This window comes from Homo sapiens, chromosome 18, assembly GCF_000001405.40.
Source record: "Homo sapiens chromosome 18, GRCh38.p14 Primary Assembly".
Classification (NCBI taxonomy): domain Eukaryota; kingdom Metazoa; phylum Chordata; class Mammalia; order Primates; family Hominidae; genus Homo; species Homo sapiens.
The window spans coordinates 33,347,961-33,365,628 of NC_000018.10; the positions used below are offsets into that span (position 1 = coordinate 33,347,961).

Consider the following 17,668-nt stretch of genomic DNA (forward strand, 5'->3'; position numbering starts at 1 on the left):
CCTCATCCTGCTATTGCTGTATGTTTTAGACCTCAAATGTACATACTGATAATAAACATAATTGTAGCTAATGGAATTGTAGTTGTGATTGTTAATATATCTATTTTTTCTCAGCATTTGTTATGTGAAAACTTGATAAGTAATGATTAAGGTCCTCGTTTTCACTATAGGCACAAATAATGAAAAATAAAACAGTAGAAACAAAGCTTTGCTATGAATGAAAGCTTTGAAAAACAAAATATTCTTGCTTTTAAAAAGTCCTGAGTTTATTACTTAGTTTTCACTCAAGGATTTAGCAATTTTTTGTGGTAGGGGAAGAGGAGGTACTACATAAAATCTCAATAATATATTTAAATACACTGAAGTAGTGTTAACACAAATTTTATACCTGTATATAAAATATATATTTTATAAATTGTGATAAGAATATTTATCACAACTTAAATATATACTAGAACTGCAATTTTCAATATGGTAGTCATCATCCACATGCAACCATTTACATTTATATGCAACTTAATTCACATTAAACTTAAAAATTAAGTTCCTCAGTCTTACTAGCCACATTTCAAAGGTTCAACAGCTGTACGTGGCTAGTAGCTATTCTACTGGACAATATACACATGGAATACTGATTATCACAGAAAGTTCTATTGGGCAACACTAAACTACAAATAGCTTCTTGAGAAGTGGATAGCCATCATTATACACTCATCACCTAAACCAGTACTTGGTGTATAATATTCACTAATAAATATTTGTTGAATGAATGCTTAATCAAATGATATAGAGGACTATTTTGTCTATTAAACATTCATAATAATTATAAAATTCTTAAACATGATTATTGTGACAATCAGAAATATATTAAATGAAGTCAATGAACTTTTAAATATATACAGTTATTCAAGTAGGAGGAACAACTTTACCTCTCTTTTCTCCTGGTTTGACCTCTTTCACTGGTGTAGTTACACTCCAATCTTCTTTCAGGTCTTTTGTGGAAGAAGTTCTGCTCCTATATAATGGGAAAGAAGCAAGCAGTAAAGAAGTACTTAAAGTTAGTAAAACAAATTTTAGGTTATGCTCTTCTATTGAATTTTAAATATTTGTGGTGAAACTTACTATACAAGATAATCTTACTAGATAGGAGACTAATATAGCAAAATTCTAATAGGTAATGGGATTTACACTTAACGGTAAATTAATAAAAACTTAAAATTAGTTACAAATGACCCAAAATGTCTTGAGAAGATATTAAAACTACATTTTTTTAAAGAAATTGGTCATTCCTAGAAAGTGTTTCTGTAAGACAAAGGGTATTCTGTGAGAATAATTTGGATGAATGATTTCTGTAATTTCAGTTCAGTAGTGCCTGGGAAATCAATGTAAATTACAATGAGTAAAAATATCATTTCAGATAATAAACTTTTAGAAAAATATCTAAATTAAAATGTTGTTTCCTTCCTAGTAGCTATACTGTTGGAAAGTACAAATATAGAACATTGATTATCATAGAAAGTTCTACTGGACAACACTAAACTGTAGTGTCTTGAGAGGTGACTATAAATTAAAATGTTATTTCCTTTCTAGCTAAAATTCTGTATGTTGAATAATAAACTATTTCTCCATCTTTCTCTGGTGTGATTCTAGAATCCTAAACTAGCCTTCATTATACATTTTTTAAAAGTGTTTTTTCTCTGATCAAAGTTACAAGAAAATTGGTATCAACAACAAAGCAGAGAATTTCTTTTTGAAATTTTCATTACATTATTTTTTATTAAAGAAGTATTCTAAATTAAGAAAACTGTATACATACCAAAAATCATAAAAAATAATATAATCCATATTTATTCTTCAGAGATCAAATAGAATAGTCTAATGATATTTTAATTCTTATAAAATTAGAGTCACAATTATACATTCTGCTTTAGTTACTTGAAATTATTTTCAGTGTATTTTACTACCATTTCATATTTCTAATGGCTACAAATTATTTTTCTTGTCATTGTTCCACAACTTATCTAGGTAACTCTGTCAATTCCAAGGTCAGAGAAATATCCTTTATATTTTCTTCCTTTAGTTTTCATATTTATTTCAGAATATTTTTGTTGAAAAGTATATTTTTTCTGATTTTTCTTTTAAAAAATTGAAAAATAATTGTCCCAGCATCAACTATTAAATAGTACTTTCCCTGCTGGCTTAATACCATTTACATGATATAGTAAATTATTATACATAATTAGATCATTTTGTGTATTATCTTCTAAAGTTCGGTTAATTCTTGGACCAGTAAAATTCTATGCTAATTTTTCTATTTTTTTAATTGAGCCAAAGTCTCATAACATATTAAACATTTGAAAGTGGAAACTTTAGTGGCATTTAATACATTCACAACATCGTACAACTATCATCCCATCTCATTCCAATATATTTTCATCACTCCAAAAGAACATATGCTACTTATTAAGCAGTCTCTCCCCTTTCTTCAACCCACTATCCCATAGCAATGACTAATCTGCTGTCTTTGTGGATGAACTTTCATGAATATTTTATAGAAATGTAATCATATAAGTGACCTTTCGTGACTTTTTAACTTAGCATAATAGTTTCAAGATTTCTCCATGTTGCAGTATGTAGAAGAATTTTATTTCTTTTAATGGTGGAATAATATTCCATTGTGTATATACAACACATTTGGTTATCTATTAATCCATTGATGGATTTGGGGATTGTGTCCACCTTTTGGCTATTGTGAATATAGATGTTATACACATTTGTATATGAGTTTTTGTTTGAACATGTTTTGAATCCTTTTGGGTATATATCTTGCAGTCAAATTGCTGAGTGATAGGTAATTCTAGGTTTCACTTTTTGAGGAGCCGACAAACTGTTTCTCGGTATCTAAACTATTTTATATTCACGCCAGCAATATGCAAGGGTTCTAATGTTGAAGAAAAGTGGAAAGAGTGGGCATCCTTGTTTTGCTCCTGTTCTTAAGATAAAAACTTTCAGTCTTCACCATCAGGTATAATATAAACTAAGGGTTTCTCATAAATATCCTTTATTGTGTTTAATAAAGTTCCCTTACAATCTAGTTTTACTAAAGGTGTGGGCTTGTGTCACATGTTAACTAATTTTCGTATGCTAAACCACTCTTGCATTTCTAGGATAAATCTCACTGATCATGATGTGTGTGTGTGTGTGTGTGTGTGTGTGTGTGTGTATAGTTTTTGTTTGTTTCTTTGTTTTTTTGAGACAAAGTCTCACTGTCGCCCAGGTTGGAGTGCAGTGGAGCGATCTTGGCTCACTGCAACCTCTGCCTCCCAGGTTCAAGTGATTCTTGTGCTTCAGCCTCCCAAGTAGCTAGGATTACAGGCGCCCGCCATCACACCCAGCTAATTTTTGTATTTTTAGTAGAGACGGGGTTTCACCATATTGGCAAGGCTGGTCTCAAACTCCTGACCTCAGGTGATCCACCAGCCTTGGCCTCCCAAAGTGCTGGGATTACAGGCGTGAGCCACTGTGCCCGGCCGTATAATTATATTAATGCATTGCTGGACTCAGGTTGATAGTATTTTGTTGAGGATTTTGTCATTTTTTGTTTGTTTGTTTTGTTTTGTTGCCCAGGCTGAAGTACAGTGGCACAATCACAGTTCACTGTAAACTTGACCTCCTGGGCTCAAGCAATCCTCCAAACTCAGTCTCTGGAGTAGCTAAGACTACTGGCATGCGCCACCACACCTGGCTCATTTTTTCATTGTTGTTGTTTGTTTGTAGAGATGGGTTTTGATTATGTTGCCTAGGCTTGTCTCAAACTTCTGGGCTCAAGTGATCCTCTGCCTTGGCCTCCCAAAGTACTTGGATTACAGGTTGTGAGCTACTGTGCCCGGCCTGTCATGTATATTCAGATATATTCTATAGTTTGCTTCTGATGTCTTTGTCTGGTTTCACTATCATGTTATTGCTGGGCTCATAGGATGACTTAGAAATTATTCTCTTCTTTTCTATTTTTTGGAAGAGTTTGAGAAGGACTGATGTTAATTCTTCTTTCAATGTTTAGTAGAATTTACCAGTGGAGCCATCTGGTCCTGAGATTTTTTTTGTTGGGGAAATTTTTGATTATTGATTCAATCACTTTATTTGTCATAGTTCTGTTCAGGTTTTCTACCCCTTCCTGAGACAGTTTTAGTAGTTTATGTGTTTTTAAGAATTAGTCCCTTTCATCTTCGTTATTTAGTTTGTTGATACCCATTTGTTCCTAGTATCCTCTTTTAATCCTCTTTATTTCTGCAGAATCTGTTGTAGTGTCCCAGTTTTTATATTATTTTAGTTAATTTGTAATTGAGTCTTCTTTTTATTTTTGGTTAGTTTAGCTAAAGGTTTGTGAATTTCATTGCTCTTTTCAAAGAAAAACCTTTTGTTTTAATTGATTCTGTGTACTGTTTTTCTAGCCTCTATTTCATTTATTTCTACTTTAACCTTTATTTCCTTCCTTTTGCTAACTTTGGGTTTAGCATACTCCTGCTTCCTTAAGGTATAAAGTTAGGTTACTGGATTTGAGTTCCTCTTTTTAAATGTAAGCATTTATAGCTCTAAATTTCCCTCTGTGGACTACTTTTGCTGCATTTCGTAAGTTTAAATACATTGTGTTTTCATTTTCACTCACCTCAAGGTGTTTTCTAATTTCCCCTGTGATTACTGCTTTGACTCATTGGTTTGTAAAACATGATTTGTTTAATTTCCACATATATATGAAATTTCCAGTTTTCCATTTGTTATTGATTTCCAGTTTCATTCTATTGGGTCAGAAAAAAATACCATGTATAATTTTGATCTTTTTCGTTTCATTGAGATTTATTTTGTGGCATAATATATGATCTATCCTGAAGAATGGTCCATGTGCACATGAGAAGAATGTGTTTTCTGCTGTTGTTAAGTGGAGTATTCTGTATAAACTGGTTAGGTCTTGTTGGTTCATGTTATTCAAGTCTATTTATTTATTGATCTTCTGCTTAGTTCTTTTATCCATTATTGGAAGTGGGGGCATTAAATTCTCAAAGTCCTGTTGTAGAACAGTCTATTATTCCCTTCAATTCTGTTAGTTTATATGTCTGTTTTGAGGTTATATTGTTAGGTGTGTTATATTTATAGTTTATATATCTTCTTGGTGGAATGACACTTTTATCAGTGTATCAAGTCTTTTGTCTTCTGTAACAGGCTTTGATTTAAAGCCTATTTTGTGTGATATTGGTATAGTCACTCCAGCTCTCTTTTACTTACTATTTGCATGGAATATGGTTTTTCATCCTTCCACTTTTAAGCTACTTATGTCTTTGTATCTCAGGTGAGACTCTCATAGACAGAATAGTTGGATTATCTATTCTTATCCATTCTACCATGCTCTACCTTTCAATTGGAGAGTTTAATCCATTTATATAAGAAGTAATTACTGATAAGGAAGGGATTATTTTTGCCATTTTGCTATTCATTTTCTATATTATTTATTTCTGAACTCCTCCATAACTGCCTTATTTGTAACTAGTTGATTTTTTTCTATATATTGTTTAGTTTCCCTCTTTGTTTTCCTGTACTGTCTAAAATAGAATCTTAGTGTTTATCCTGAGGATTACAATTAATATCTTAACTCTATAAAACTTGAATTAAAATCAATGTAGCTTCAATAGTATACCTATCTATTTATATATAAAGAACTCTGTTCCTTTATGTCTCTGCTCTTTCTCTTATGGTGTCAATTTCACAAATTACATAGTTATCCATTTTGTGTTCATTTGCATAAATTTATAATTATGAATTTTATCCATTTGACCTTATAATCATATAGGGAAACAAATAAGAATTACAAAACAAAAATACACTTATACTGGATTTTATACTTACCTTTGTAGTTACCTTTATTATTGTTTATTATTTTATCATATGGCTTCCAGTTACTCTCTAGTGTCGTTTCATTTCAGCCTGAAAGACTACTTATAGGATTTCTTATAGAACTGGACTGCTAGTGATACACCCCTTTGGTTTATCTGAGAATGTCTTAATTTCTCCTTTATTTTTGAGGATACTCTTGCTAGATTCGGAATTCTTCATTGACAGTTTCTTTTTTTTCTTCTGGCATTTAAATATGTCACCCCACTGCATTCTGACTTCCACAATTCCTAATGAACAATTCACTGTTAATCGTACTGAGGGTCCCTGGTACATGAAAAGTTGCTTCTCTTGTGCTGCTTTCCAGATTCTCTTTGTCCCAGGCATTTGACAAGTTAACTAAAATGTATATGGGTGTGGATCTGTTTGACTTGATTCTATTTGGAGTTCATTGAGTTTAATGGATGCATAGATTTAAGTCTTTCATCAAATTGAAGAGTTTCTTAGCCATTGTTTCTTCAAATATTTTTTCATTCTCTAGCCCTTTCTTCTCACTTTTTGACTGCTATTATGCTTGATGGTATCCCTTAGGCTTATTAGGCACTTTTCATTTTTCTTTATTCTCTTGTCTTTCTTGTTTCTTAGACTAGATAATCTCTATTAACTTATCATCAAATTCACTGATTATTCTGACTGCTCAAAGCTGCTACTGAACCCTTCTAGTGAAGTTTTTAATTTCAGTTAGTTTATTTTTCAGTTCCAGAATTTTTTTTTTTTTTTTTTTCCAGACAGAGTCTCACTCTGTCGCCCAGGTTGGAATGCAGTGGCACGATCTTGGCTCACTGCAACCTCCACCTCCCGGGTTCAAGTGATTCTCCTGCCTCAGCCTCCTGAGTAGCTGGGACTACAAGTGCAGGCCACCATGCGCAGCTAATTTTTGTATTTGTTTTTAGTAAAGACGGGGTTTCACCATATTGGCCAGGCTGGTCTTGAATCCCTGACATGATCCACCCGCCTTGGCCTCCCAAAGTGTTGGGATTACAGGCATGAGCCACCGCACCCAGCCTAGAATTTCTATTTGGTTAATTTTTATAATTTCTCTAATTGAGATTTTATATTTGTTGAAACATCACTTTTCTGCTTTAACTTAGTTATTTGTTCATGGTTTCCTTTATCTCTTTGAAGATATTTAAGTCAATTGATTTATCTTTGTCCAGTAAGTCCAAATTTTGGGTTCCCTTGAGAACAGTTTATGTTAATTTATCCTTTTTCACTGTGAATGACCCAAGCTTTCTTTTCTTTGCATTCTTCATATTTACTTTTTGAAAATTGGACATTTTGAATATTTTAATGTGAAATAAAAACCAGATTACACTATTGGATTTGCTTTTTCTGTCTGTAGTGGGTTATTGTTTGTTTAGTGACTCTTCCAAACACTCTTTCATAATGGCTGTATTATTTGTCATGTGTAATCACTGAAATCTGTTTCCTTAGCTTACTGGTGAGCTAGTGTTTTGTGTGAGTTCACTTAAATGGCTGGCAACAAAAGAAAGGAAAAAGAAAAACAATACTCTCCAATCTTGGCAGATTTGGTCTGTGTTAGGGTAATCCTTCGAGGCTTACCCAGGCTGTTTAAACCCTGACTCTGTCTTCAATTCCTGCCCATGCAGATCCTAAAGGTCAGCCAGAAGTAAGATTAGGATCTTCTCAAGTCTTTTTTGAACATTTTTCCAGCCCTCTGTGTTCTATCAAATCTCCAGTATATTGAGAGATTTTCCTTCATGTATCTATCTCTTTTTCCAACCTATTTTTTCACAGGAATTTTCGTCTGGTTAATGCTTGTCCTAGCTGTTATCTATAGCCTCAGGCTGCTATGGCAAGTATATGCCTTTAAATGCTTTTTGCAAACACTGCCTGTAAGTAGCCCCAGCCTTGTGATTCCTCCAAGTCAAGCAAAGTCCTTATGCTAGTCTTTCTGGGAGCTATCAGATCACTCAAACACAATTCTTTGAGAATGATGTTCCTATTATTCCCTCTGGCACTAGGAATCTGCACCATAGGTGTACACTGCTCTCTTCATAGCTGCCACCAGTCTGAAGGCTGGAGAATGCTGAGCAGGCAAATTACAATGCCACAGTGCTCTCTTAATGCAATGAAGCAGCTTCCTTCTTCATTGAATTTTCCCCTAGTGGTTATTAAATTTTTACTGGATTCCAGATTTCTGTAAAAGTCGATTCTGACTGATGTTTTTGCAAATTTTATAGTTGTTTTTGTGGAGGGGTGGAGCTCTGGAGATCTCTAGTTTGCCATTATCAGTGATGTCCTCATTCTTATATTTTAAAAAATATATTGCAATATCTATTGTGAAAAATCTTGCATTCGATTTTCTATTCCTTTTGAAGTTAAACTGGATTATAGCAGATGATTGAAATTTGGACATTAAAAATAAAATAGTTTTAAAAAGCATGAAATTTTCTTACCATTCTTCAAAAGAAGTTTCAAACTGTCAAAACAAAAGATCTCAATAAAAATCAAATCTTAAACATATTAAAAAACTGAATAAATGTCACTTAAACTTGTCAATTCTCTACTTTACATATCTCTACTTCATTATATTTTTGTGTACTTATACTCTCGGTTGTATAAACCAAAAATAAAATTCTAAGCCCCCCCAACTGACTGAGTAGGTCCCCCCAACTCTTGGCCAAGGGGACCCCAAAGAAACCTAAAAAGCTAGTTAAGGACATGAATAGGAAAGGGGGTTAGACATGCCTCATTATAACCTCCTGCCTTTGTAATCTAGACACAACAGACCAGCATTAAAATTAAAACAGAAATCTTAAGATAAACAAAAAAGACTCTTTGTAGCAATAATATACCAAATTCCCACCTGATTCTGATATAGCATCACATGACAGATAACAGGCCTTGAAAGAAATCAAAGTATTTCACTCCAAAATATACTTCTTTGACATATTCAGAAACAGTCCTGCAAAACCGTCTCTTGTGGCAGAAGTTTGCATTCTGTAGAGAATCTCTTTCCCTTACTAGGTCCTTTTTAGGGAGCCTGACACTTTCAAGGTCTGATAAGAGACATTCACCACCTATTCTCTCTGAAGCCTGCTACCTGGAGGCTTCATCTACATGACAAGAACTTTGGCTTTTTTTTTTTAATGGTGAATTCAACAATTCAGGCAAGTCATATCTTTCAACCAATTACCAATCAGGAAACCTGAATTCACCTATGACCTGGAAGCCCCCATTTCTAGATGTCCCACCTTTCCAGGCCTAACCAATGTATAACTTGCATGTATTGATTTATGTCTTTCCCTGTAACTTCTGCCCCCCTAAAATGTATAAAATCAAGCTGTAACCAAACCACCTTGGGCACATGTTCCTGGGACCTCCTGAGGCTGCCATGGACCATGGTTCTTAACCTTGGCAAAATAAACCTCTAAATTGATTAAGACCTATCTCATAAACTTATTGGTTTACAGTTGTTTCCCAAGAAGTACATAAATCTCCTATCTATTCATATTGTTTTATTCTTAACCCCACCTAATTGTTCTGACCTTGTCTCTGTGATTCTAAATCTTACACATTCATCAAGGGACAGTTCAACTGCTATTTATTCCCAAAAGACTTTCCTAACAGTCAGAAGTACATGACATCTATTGAATTGTAATGTGTTACCAAAGAGTGGTGAATACAAAATTATACCTGAGTTCACATATTTAGCTTTCCATAATATTATGCCTTTTCTGGACTATAAAGTCATTGGCAGGGTTATTTTCTACAGATATATTCTAAGAGTACCTTGGGTTGTACAAGTCATAAATTATCAAAAATGCAAAACCAGAATGTTACAGGTTTCATAGATTATCTCTCATTCAAGATGTTTATTTGGCATACATGATTACTTCTCTCTAGTTCCCATATCCTACCAAAATCTGAACAAAAAAATTATATGATATATATATATATGTGTATGCATGTGTGTGTGTGTGTATACACACACACATTCACATTAATATATACATATATAGTCATGTGTCACTAATGACAGTGATACATTCTCAGAAATTCATTGCTAGGCAATTCTGTCATTGTGCGAACATCATAAGAGTATATTTATACAAACCTCAGTGGTATAGCCTACTACACACTTAGGCTATATGGTATAGTCTATTGCCCCTGGCCTACAAACCTGCACAGTGTGTTACCATACTGAATGCTGTAGGCAAGTATAGCACAATGTATTTGTGTATCTAAATATATCAAAATATAGACAAGATACAGTAAAAATACAATATTGTAATCTCATGAGACCACTGTTGTATATGTGGTACATCATTGACCAAATAATGAAAAAGACTAAATTCATGTACATAATAAAAAACTGAGGAATGCAATTATGTTTAAAATCCCAATAGATTTTTTTCATATAATATGACAAGCTTATTCTAAAATTTATATGGAAGAGCACTGCATCAAGAATACCCGAAGAACTCTAAAAAGGTAAAAAGAAGTACCATATGAGATATCAAAACATATTATGACTCATGTAAATGACTGAAAGCAGATATTGGCATAGGGAGGTAAAATTGACTAGTGGGATGGAACAGGCCAGAAATAGGTAAAATCATACATGAAACTTTGATGTATGATGGATATGGTATGGCTGATTTATAAGAAATGACTGGATTTGAAATAAAATCAATGTGGAAAAAACTAATTTTCCTTAGTAAAATTAGCTATCAATTCCATTCATATGCAAAAAAGAAATCAATTTCACATTATTGAGCAAATCTCCAAAGAAAAATTAAAATTTTAGTAGCTATAAAGTAAAACTGTTATAGCATTGTGGTATGGAAATTTTTCTTAAACAAGACACAAATCACTTAAAAGCAAAAGTAAAGTGATAAATTTAATTACATTAAAATTAATAAAGTAAAAAGACAAGTCACAAACTGAGAGAAAGTGTTTACAACATATACAACTTACTAAAGGTAACAAGTTCCTAAAAGTCAATAAGAAAATACAAGTAAACCCAAAAGAAAGTGGCAAAAGATAAATTGGCATTTTGCAGAGAAGAGAATAAAAATTCAGTGAGCATGTTAATAAGATTCTAAACTAATTAATAATCAGGAAAATGTTATTCCTTGATTTTGGAAACTGGCATTCACAGTCCTGCATAATGCAGAAATCCACATGATGTTGATTTATGTGACAGTTCTAAGAAGCCATTTGAAGTTGAAGTATCACAAGAGAGTCAGGGGAAAATTGGTTAAGAGGCACTTCAATGAATTGTGATATAATTATCCAAAACTTCTGAAGTCCTCAACAAGTTAGTAATAATTAATAGTCTCAGCTTGATCTTTATAGCTCAATAGAAAATCATTTATTTTATAAAGATAAAACATTATTACTCCAAATTTTTGAAGCAGAGTGCAATTTCATATGAAGAAACGTTTTAAGGTAATATATCAAAACATTACCTTAGCAACTTTGTTTAGAAGTAAGTAACAAAGAAATAATTAAAAAATTACTTTAGTCAGTCTTTGATCTGATGTGTGGAGGCAAAATTTCTGGTACCTAGCATTTAAATACTATTTATTCAGGATATTGAAGTGGTTAACACAGAGAAGGCCTACAATTCCAGAGAAACATTTGAAGTCTTATATTCATAACTGCCTATCTGAAAAATCTGGACAAATTTTAGAAGTTTATCAAAGTCACTTTAAATCATTATTTTAAATAAAATTCCTGATTATAATTAAGCTTAGAATTTCACTTGTCATAAACATTTGTGTTATGTAGATGCTTCGATGAAAATACCTAATATAATCAATTATATCAAACTAACTACAAGACTCCATACAATTCTCATTTCTGATTTTACCAAAATAGCAAATGAAAACAAAGGAGGAGGGAGAGCTAAAATTGCCCGATTCGATGTAGTTTAAAATATTATTACATTATGGGGGAAATGAAACACTTCATTTACTTACAGCTCTAAGCCACATTGCCCACAAACTTCTGCTTGATAAATCTAACATTTCCATTGACCTTGTTTATTTAAGTCTATATTTTTATTGGAAATTATTACCAAATATTTAAATATTTTAATGCTATTATTGAGACAAAAAGTATTCATGAAACCTTCTATTTTCCACTGTAAAAATAAGAAAATAATTAACCTTATGTTAGAAATTTTTTTTTAATGGACGATAACAAGTGCTAATAAGGATGTGAAGAAATTAGAACACATTTATATTGCTGGTGGGAATTTAAAACAGTTGGGCTATGGAAAATAATTTGATGGTTTCTCAATAAGTTATATATAGAATCATCACATGATACAGCAGTTCCACTCCTAGGTATATACTCAAAAGAACTGAAAACAGGTACTTAATCAAATCCTTATATAATATATAATTATATAATATATACTACATGCATGTTCATAGTAGCCCTCTGTACTATAGACAAAGGGGAACAACCCAAATGACTATCAACAGATGGACAGATACCAATCGTTGTATATATACACAATAGATTATTCAGCTATAAAAAGAAACAAAGTACTGAAACATGCTACAATGTGGATCGACCTCCCACATTATGTCAAGTGAAAAAAATGCAGGTCACATATTGTATGATTTTATTTATATCTAATATCCAGAATAGATATAGCTATCAAAATTGAAAATGAAAAAAGGAAAATTATCTCTATTTGCAGATGACATGATCCTATAAGCAGAAAACCTCAATGCTACACAAAAAAACCTGTTAGAACTAATAAATTCAGCAGTTGCAAGATACAAAATCAATGTACAAAAACTAGTAGCATTTTTATACATGAATAATGATCTAGCTGAAGAAGAAATTAAGAAAACAATCCCATTTATAACAGCATAAAATGCCTTGGAATAAGTCTAATCAAGTAGCTGAAAGATTTGCACACTAAAACTATAAAACATTAATGAAAGAAATTGAGCGTGATGCAAATAAATGAATAAATATGTGTTTACAAATGGGAAGAATTAATATTGCTAAAATAATCCTAGTACTCTAAGCAATATATAGATTTAATGCCATGTCGATAAAAATTCCAATGACTATTTTCACAGAAATAGAAAAAGAATATAAAATTAATATAGAGCCATAAAAAAACACCAAAAGTCCCAACAATACTGAGGAAAAAAGGTAATGTTGGAAGCATCAGACTTCCTGATTTAAACTTATATTACAAAGCAATCATAATCAAAACAGTATGGTCCTGGCATAAAAACAAAAACATAGACCAATGGAATAGAATAGAGAGTCCAGAAATAAGTTAAAACACAGACGGACAACTAATTTTTGACAAAGGCATCAAAAGGACACAATGAGGAAAGAATAGTCTCTTCAATAAATGATGCAGGGAAAACTAAATTTCTATCACCAACAGAATGAAATTGGCTCTTATCTTAAACAATACACAAAAATCAATTCAAAATGGATAAAAGACCTAAATTTAAGATCAGAAGCCATAAAACTCCTAGAAAAGAACATAGAGGAAAAGCTCCTTCACATTGGTCTTGACAACAACTTTTGGGAATCACACCAAAAATTCAGACTTCAAAGACAAAAATACAGAAATGGAACTGCATCAAACTAAAAAAAAATGAAAAGTCCAGTTACATACTAGGAAAAAAATAATTGGAAACCACATATCTGATAAGGAGTTAATATGAAAAATGTATTAAAAACTCTTAAACTCATTAGCAAAAACCAAATAACCTGATTTAAAAATGGGCAAAGGACATGACGTATCTTCAAAAAATATATAAATGGAAAACAGGTATGCAAAAAGGTGCTCAACATCACTAATCATCAAGGAAATGCAAATTAAAACCACTATGAGATATCTTCTCACACACATAAGGATGACTACTATAAAAAAGACAAGAGATAAATGTTGGTGAGGGTATGGAGAAAAGGGAGCCCTAGTACAACTGTTGGTGGGAAGGTAGAATGGTACAGCCATTAGAGAAAACAGTATGGAGGTTCCTAAAGAAATTAAAAATAGGACTACCACATGACCCAGCAATTCATCTTTTAGGTATATACCCAAAGGAGATGAAAGCACCAGCTCGTAAAGATATCTTCACACCCATATTCGCTGCAGCATTATTCACAATAGCCAAGATATGGAAACAACCTGAATGTTCATCGATGAATAAGTGAATAAAGAAAATGTAGGAGTGTGTTTGTGTCTCTGTGTATGTACACATACACGCATGTATGCATGTGTATGTGTGTCTATATGTTTATGTGTGTATGTCTGTATGTATATATATACATATATATATATATAGCTAATATTCAGCCTTATAAAAAATGGAGAGCCTGTTATTTGCCACAACATGAATGGACCTGGAAGACATTATACTAAAGGAAATAAGGCAGACACAGAAAAATGTTGCATGACCTTACTTACATGTGGAATATATTTTTTTAAGGAGTTCAAATACACAGGTAGAGAATGAAACAGTGGTTACCACAGGTGGGAGTCGGGAAGAGGAAATGCAGAGATGCAGGTCAGAGGATACAAAGCAGCAGATATGGAAAATGAACACGTCTAGAGATCTAATGTAAAACATGAGGACTAAAGTTAATAAAATTGTATTATATTAGGGATTTTTGTTAAATAAGTAGGTATTTGTTGCTCTTGTCACAAGGATGTCACTATGTGAAATATATGAGACTAACATAGATATGTTAGCCGGCTTCACTATAGTAACCATTGTACTACTATACCATCTATATGTGTCTGTCTGTATGTATCCCAAAACAGCATGTTGTAAACCTCAAATAAACGCAATAAAATTTATTTCAAAAGAAAGCAGATTGGTAGTTGCAAGACTTGGGTTAAGAAGAGAATTAGGAGTAAATTCTTAATGGATATGGGGTTTTATTCTGGAGTAGTGAACATGCTTTGGAGCTAAATATAGTGGTGATTACACATTACATAAACTAAATGTTACGGAGTTGCTCACTTAAAAATGGTTAATTTTATGCGATGTGAATTGCACCTCAACTTTTAAAATCACTTAGGAAGTCTGAGTAAATTACAAATTTTAATTATAAATGTGTCAATACTGGTTCATTAATTACAGCAAAGATACCATACTAATGAGATATTTTTAAAAACTGGATCCAGAATATACATGAACTCCCTACACTATCTTCTCAATTGTTCTGTAGGTCTAAAGTGTTCTAAAAAAATTTTATTTAAAAAAAACAAATTAGAGGAACATAAAACATAATTATCTAATTCAAGGAAAGTATGTTTTAATAAAGCAAATAAAGCAAAAGAATATGGCTGGGGCTTTTGGGGCATGGAAGTAAACCAAATCAGATTCATACGAAACTTCAAAGTTTTCATTAGAATTGTGGCATCTTGGACTAAAAACCAAGAGACAGTTGAAAATGCAAAGAAGCTTCTGAGCTCTCAACTTATAAGAAGCAGGAAGAAGTCTGAGATAGGAACTCAGATCCATTTTCTACAGAAATGAAAGTACCTCTGGAGCCAAGAGTTGAGAGTAAATCAAACAGCCAGTGAGGACCACAGACCAATAAATTATTCCCAATGAGCAGAACTGGGTTCTAATAAAAAAACATTTCTTGGTCCTAGATTTGGGGAACCTGACACCATATGCTGATAAAATTCAGAATTTTATGGATCAGTGAAAGCCCTATGTCTTCATTCTTCCCCTTTTTGAATGAGGGGTTTATTGTGATTATTCTATCCCTTCTTCACTGTGTATACTAAGTATGCAGGAGCAGTATTTGACTTTTCACTTTAGTTCATAGATCTATGGGTCAAAAGAAGTTGCACACAAGGAACTTCATCTGTATCAGATCTGTTACAGAACATGTAATTATGGATATTCATGATACCAGAAAGATATAAAACTGTTTTAAGAAAAGGTCATTGTAGTTTGCATTTGGGGAGCAGTATTAATCATGTGGCAATGGACTGATAGATTGCTACCTAAATTGTTCCCATAGAATCTTGTCTTCTGGATCCACATCTTTTCTAGTACTCTCCTGCATTAACAGTGGGATTGACTATGTGCTTTGCTTTGGTCAGCGGGACTTCAGCATACATGACACAGGCAAAGCTTTGTTAAGCACTTGTCTGTTGAGATTCATCCTCTTGAAATACGCTCTAACAGCCAACAACCATGTGAGTGAGACCATTTTAATCATTATTCCCAGTTGTGCTACCAGATGTGTGTATCCACATGATTGGTCCCAGGCAAGAACCAGCAAAACTGCCCAGCTGAGTCCAGAACAAATTGCTGAATTGTAACCACGTAAATGCTTGTGTTCTAGCCACAAAGTGTTGGAGTACATGTGTATATGTACGTATGTGCATGTATACCAATAGGTAAAAGAAAAAAAGATAAATGGTTACTTTGCTCAAAATATTTTCATTAGAATGGGGAAAAATTCTAGACTGCAAAGAATAAATGAGTGATTGGGAGGTGTGGAATTAGATACTAAATATAGACAACTTTCAGATGCTAAGTGGAATGGAGAAAGAAAGACAAGGGGAGATATTTAAAGGTCTGTATAGAATTTTAAAATGTTCTTAAAAATAGGAGATACATCAGTATCTTCAATGTGTACAGGAGCTAAGAAAAAAAGGAGATTTTTTAAAGACAGAATGCTGAGAGAAGACACAACTGACGGAGCAAGATCCTTGCAAAGGTAGAATATGCAATGCAGTGAGGGGAACAGCTCTAGGTGGGTGGGGGACAAAAAGAACAATATTTGTGTTCAGGGATGTCCATAGGTGAGATAACAACAGTTTGAAGCATTTCTGTTGTCGCTCCTTTTTTTTTTTTTTTTTTGCAAAGAAAGAAATGAGCTGTAAGGTAGAAGATTTAGAGGTTTGAACAAAAAAACATTGGAGTAGCCACCACAGACTACTAGAAAAATTTCAATTGACAAACAATAATTTCAGAGCACTATACAATGTACAACTGAGGGTGGAGACTATGGTTACATAACATCTTAAATTTTGGGTAATGTTCTCCAGTACCATTCAGCAGACCAGGGGTGGGAGTGGGGATGGCAGACCATCAGAGATATTTGGGGTTGGCATTTTGTCAGACTAGAAGGATGACAGGATAAAAAGTAAAGGACCAAATACTCCAACTGATGAATGTTTAGAGAGATTAATTGATTAGGCAAGAAACTAAAGGAAAATAGGAACCACAGAATAGGAAACCAGATATATCAGCATTTGAAGTGCTCATAAGTTTCAAGTTAAATACAATAGAACTAATAGAATGAGAGAACTCAAAGTATAAGAAACTTAGTAAAGAGTCAGGTGTTAAATGTTAGGTTTCAGAGTTAAAAAATAGATATGAAGTGGTATAAAAAGAGCCAAGTTTTCCAATGAGAATGACAAACTTTTTAACATTCATGTCTTTGGTCTTAATAGCTGACACATTGTCAAGGACACGATGTCATGGCACAGTGCTGAACCGGATGTGCTTAGAGCTCGGATACACCTGGTCTGGATGCTGGCTCTGCCACTGACATTAGATCTCGGGAGAAATCAGCCTCTGAAATCATTTTCCTCATCTGCAACTGGAAATAATGGCAGTTTCTATCTAATAAGGTTTTAATAAGAATTCAATGAAATTATGCATATTAAGTGTTTAATAAGTCTATATTTGGTAATCATTTTATAAATATTAGCTTTATTATCATAGTTGATGTT

The 17,668-nt window shown here is 33.0% G+C and overlaps 1 protein-coding gene across 10 annotated transcripts in view; it reads right to left on the bottom strand.

The window, feature by feature from the left end:
- The window catches only part of CCDC178 (coiled-coil domain containing 178), a 503,635-nt gene that overhangs the window by 410,555 nt on the left and 75,412 nt on the right, over positions 1–17,668 (bottom strand). For 8 of the 10 annotated variants that reach the window (NM_001371120.1, NM_198995.3, XM_011525951.2 and 5 more), the window contains exons 7-8: positions 8,364–8,386; positions 930–1,015 (exon numbers count right to left, since the gene is read on the bottom strand). In NM_001371120.1, the coding sequence (NP_001358049.1) occupies positions 930–1,015; positions 8,364–8,386 (109 nt within the window). Of the gene's footprint in view, positions 1–929; positions 1,016–4,666; positions 5,430–8,363; positions 8,387–17,668 lie in introns of those variants that run through there. The other 2 variants (XM_017025725.1, XM_017025724.2) reach the window with 2 other exon arrangements.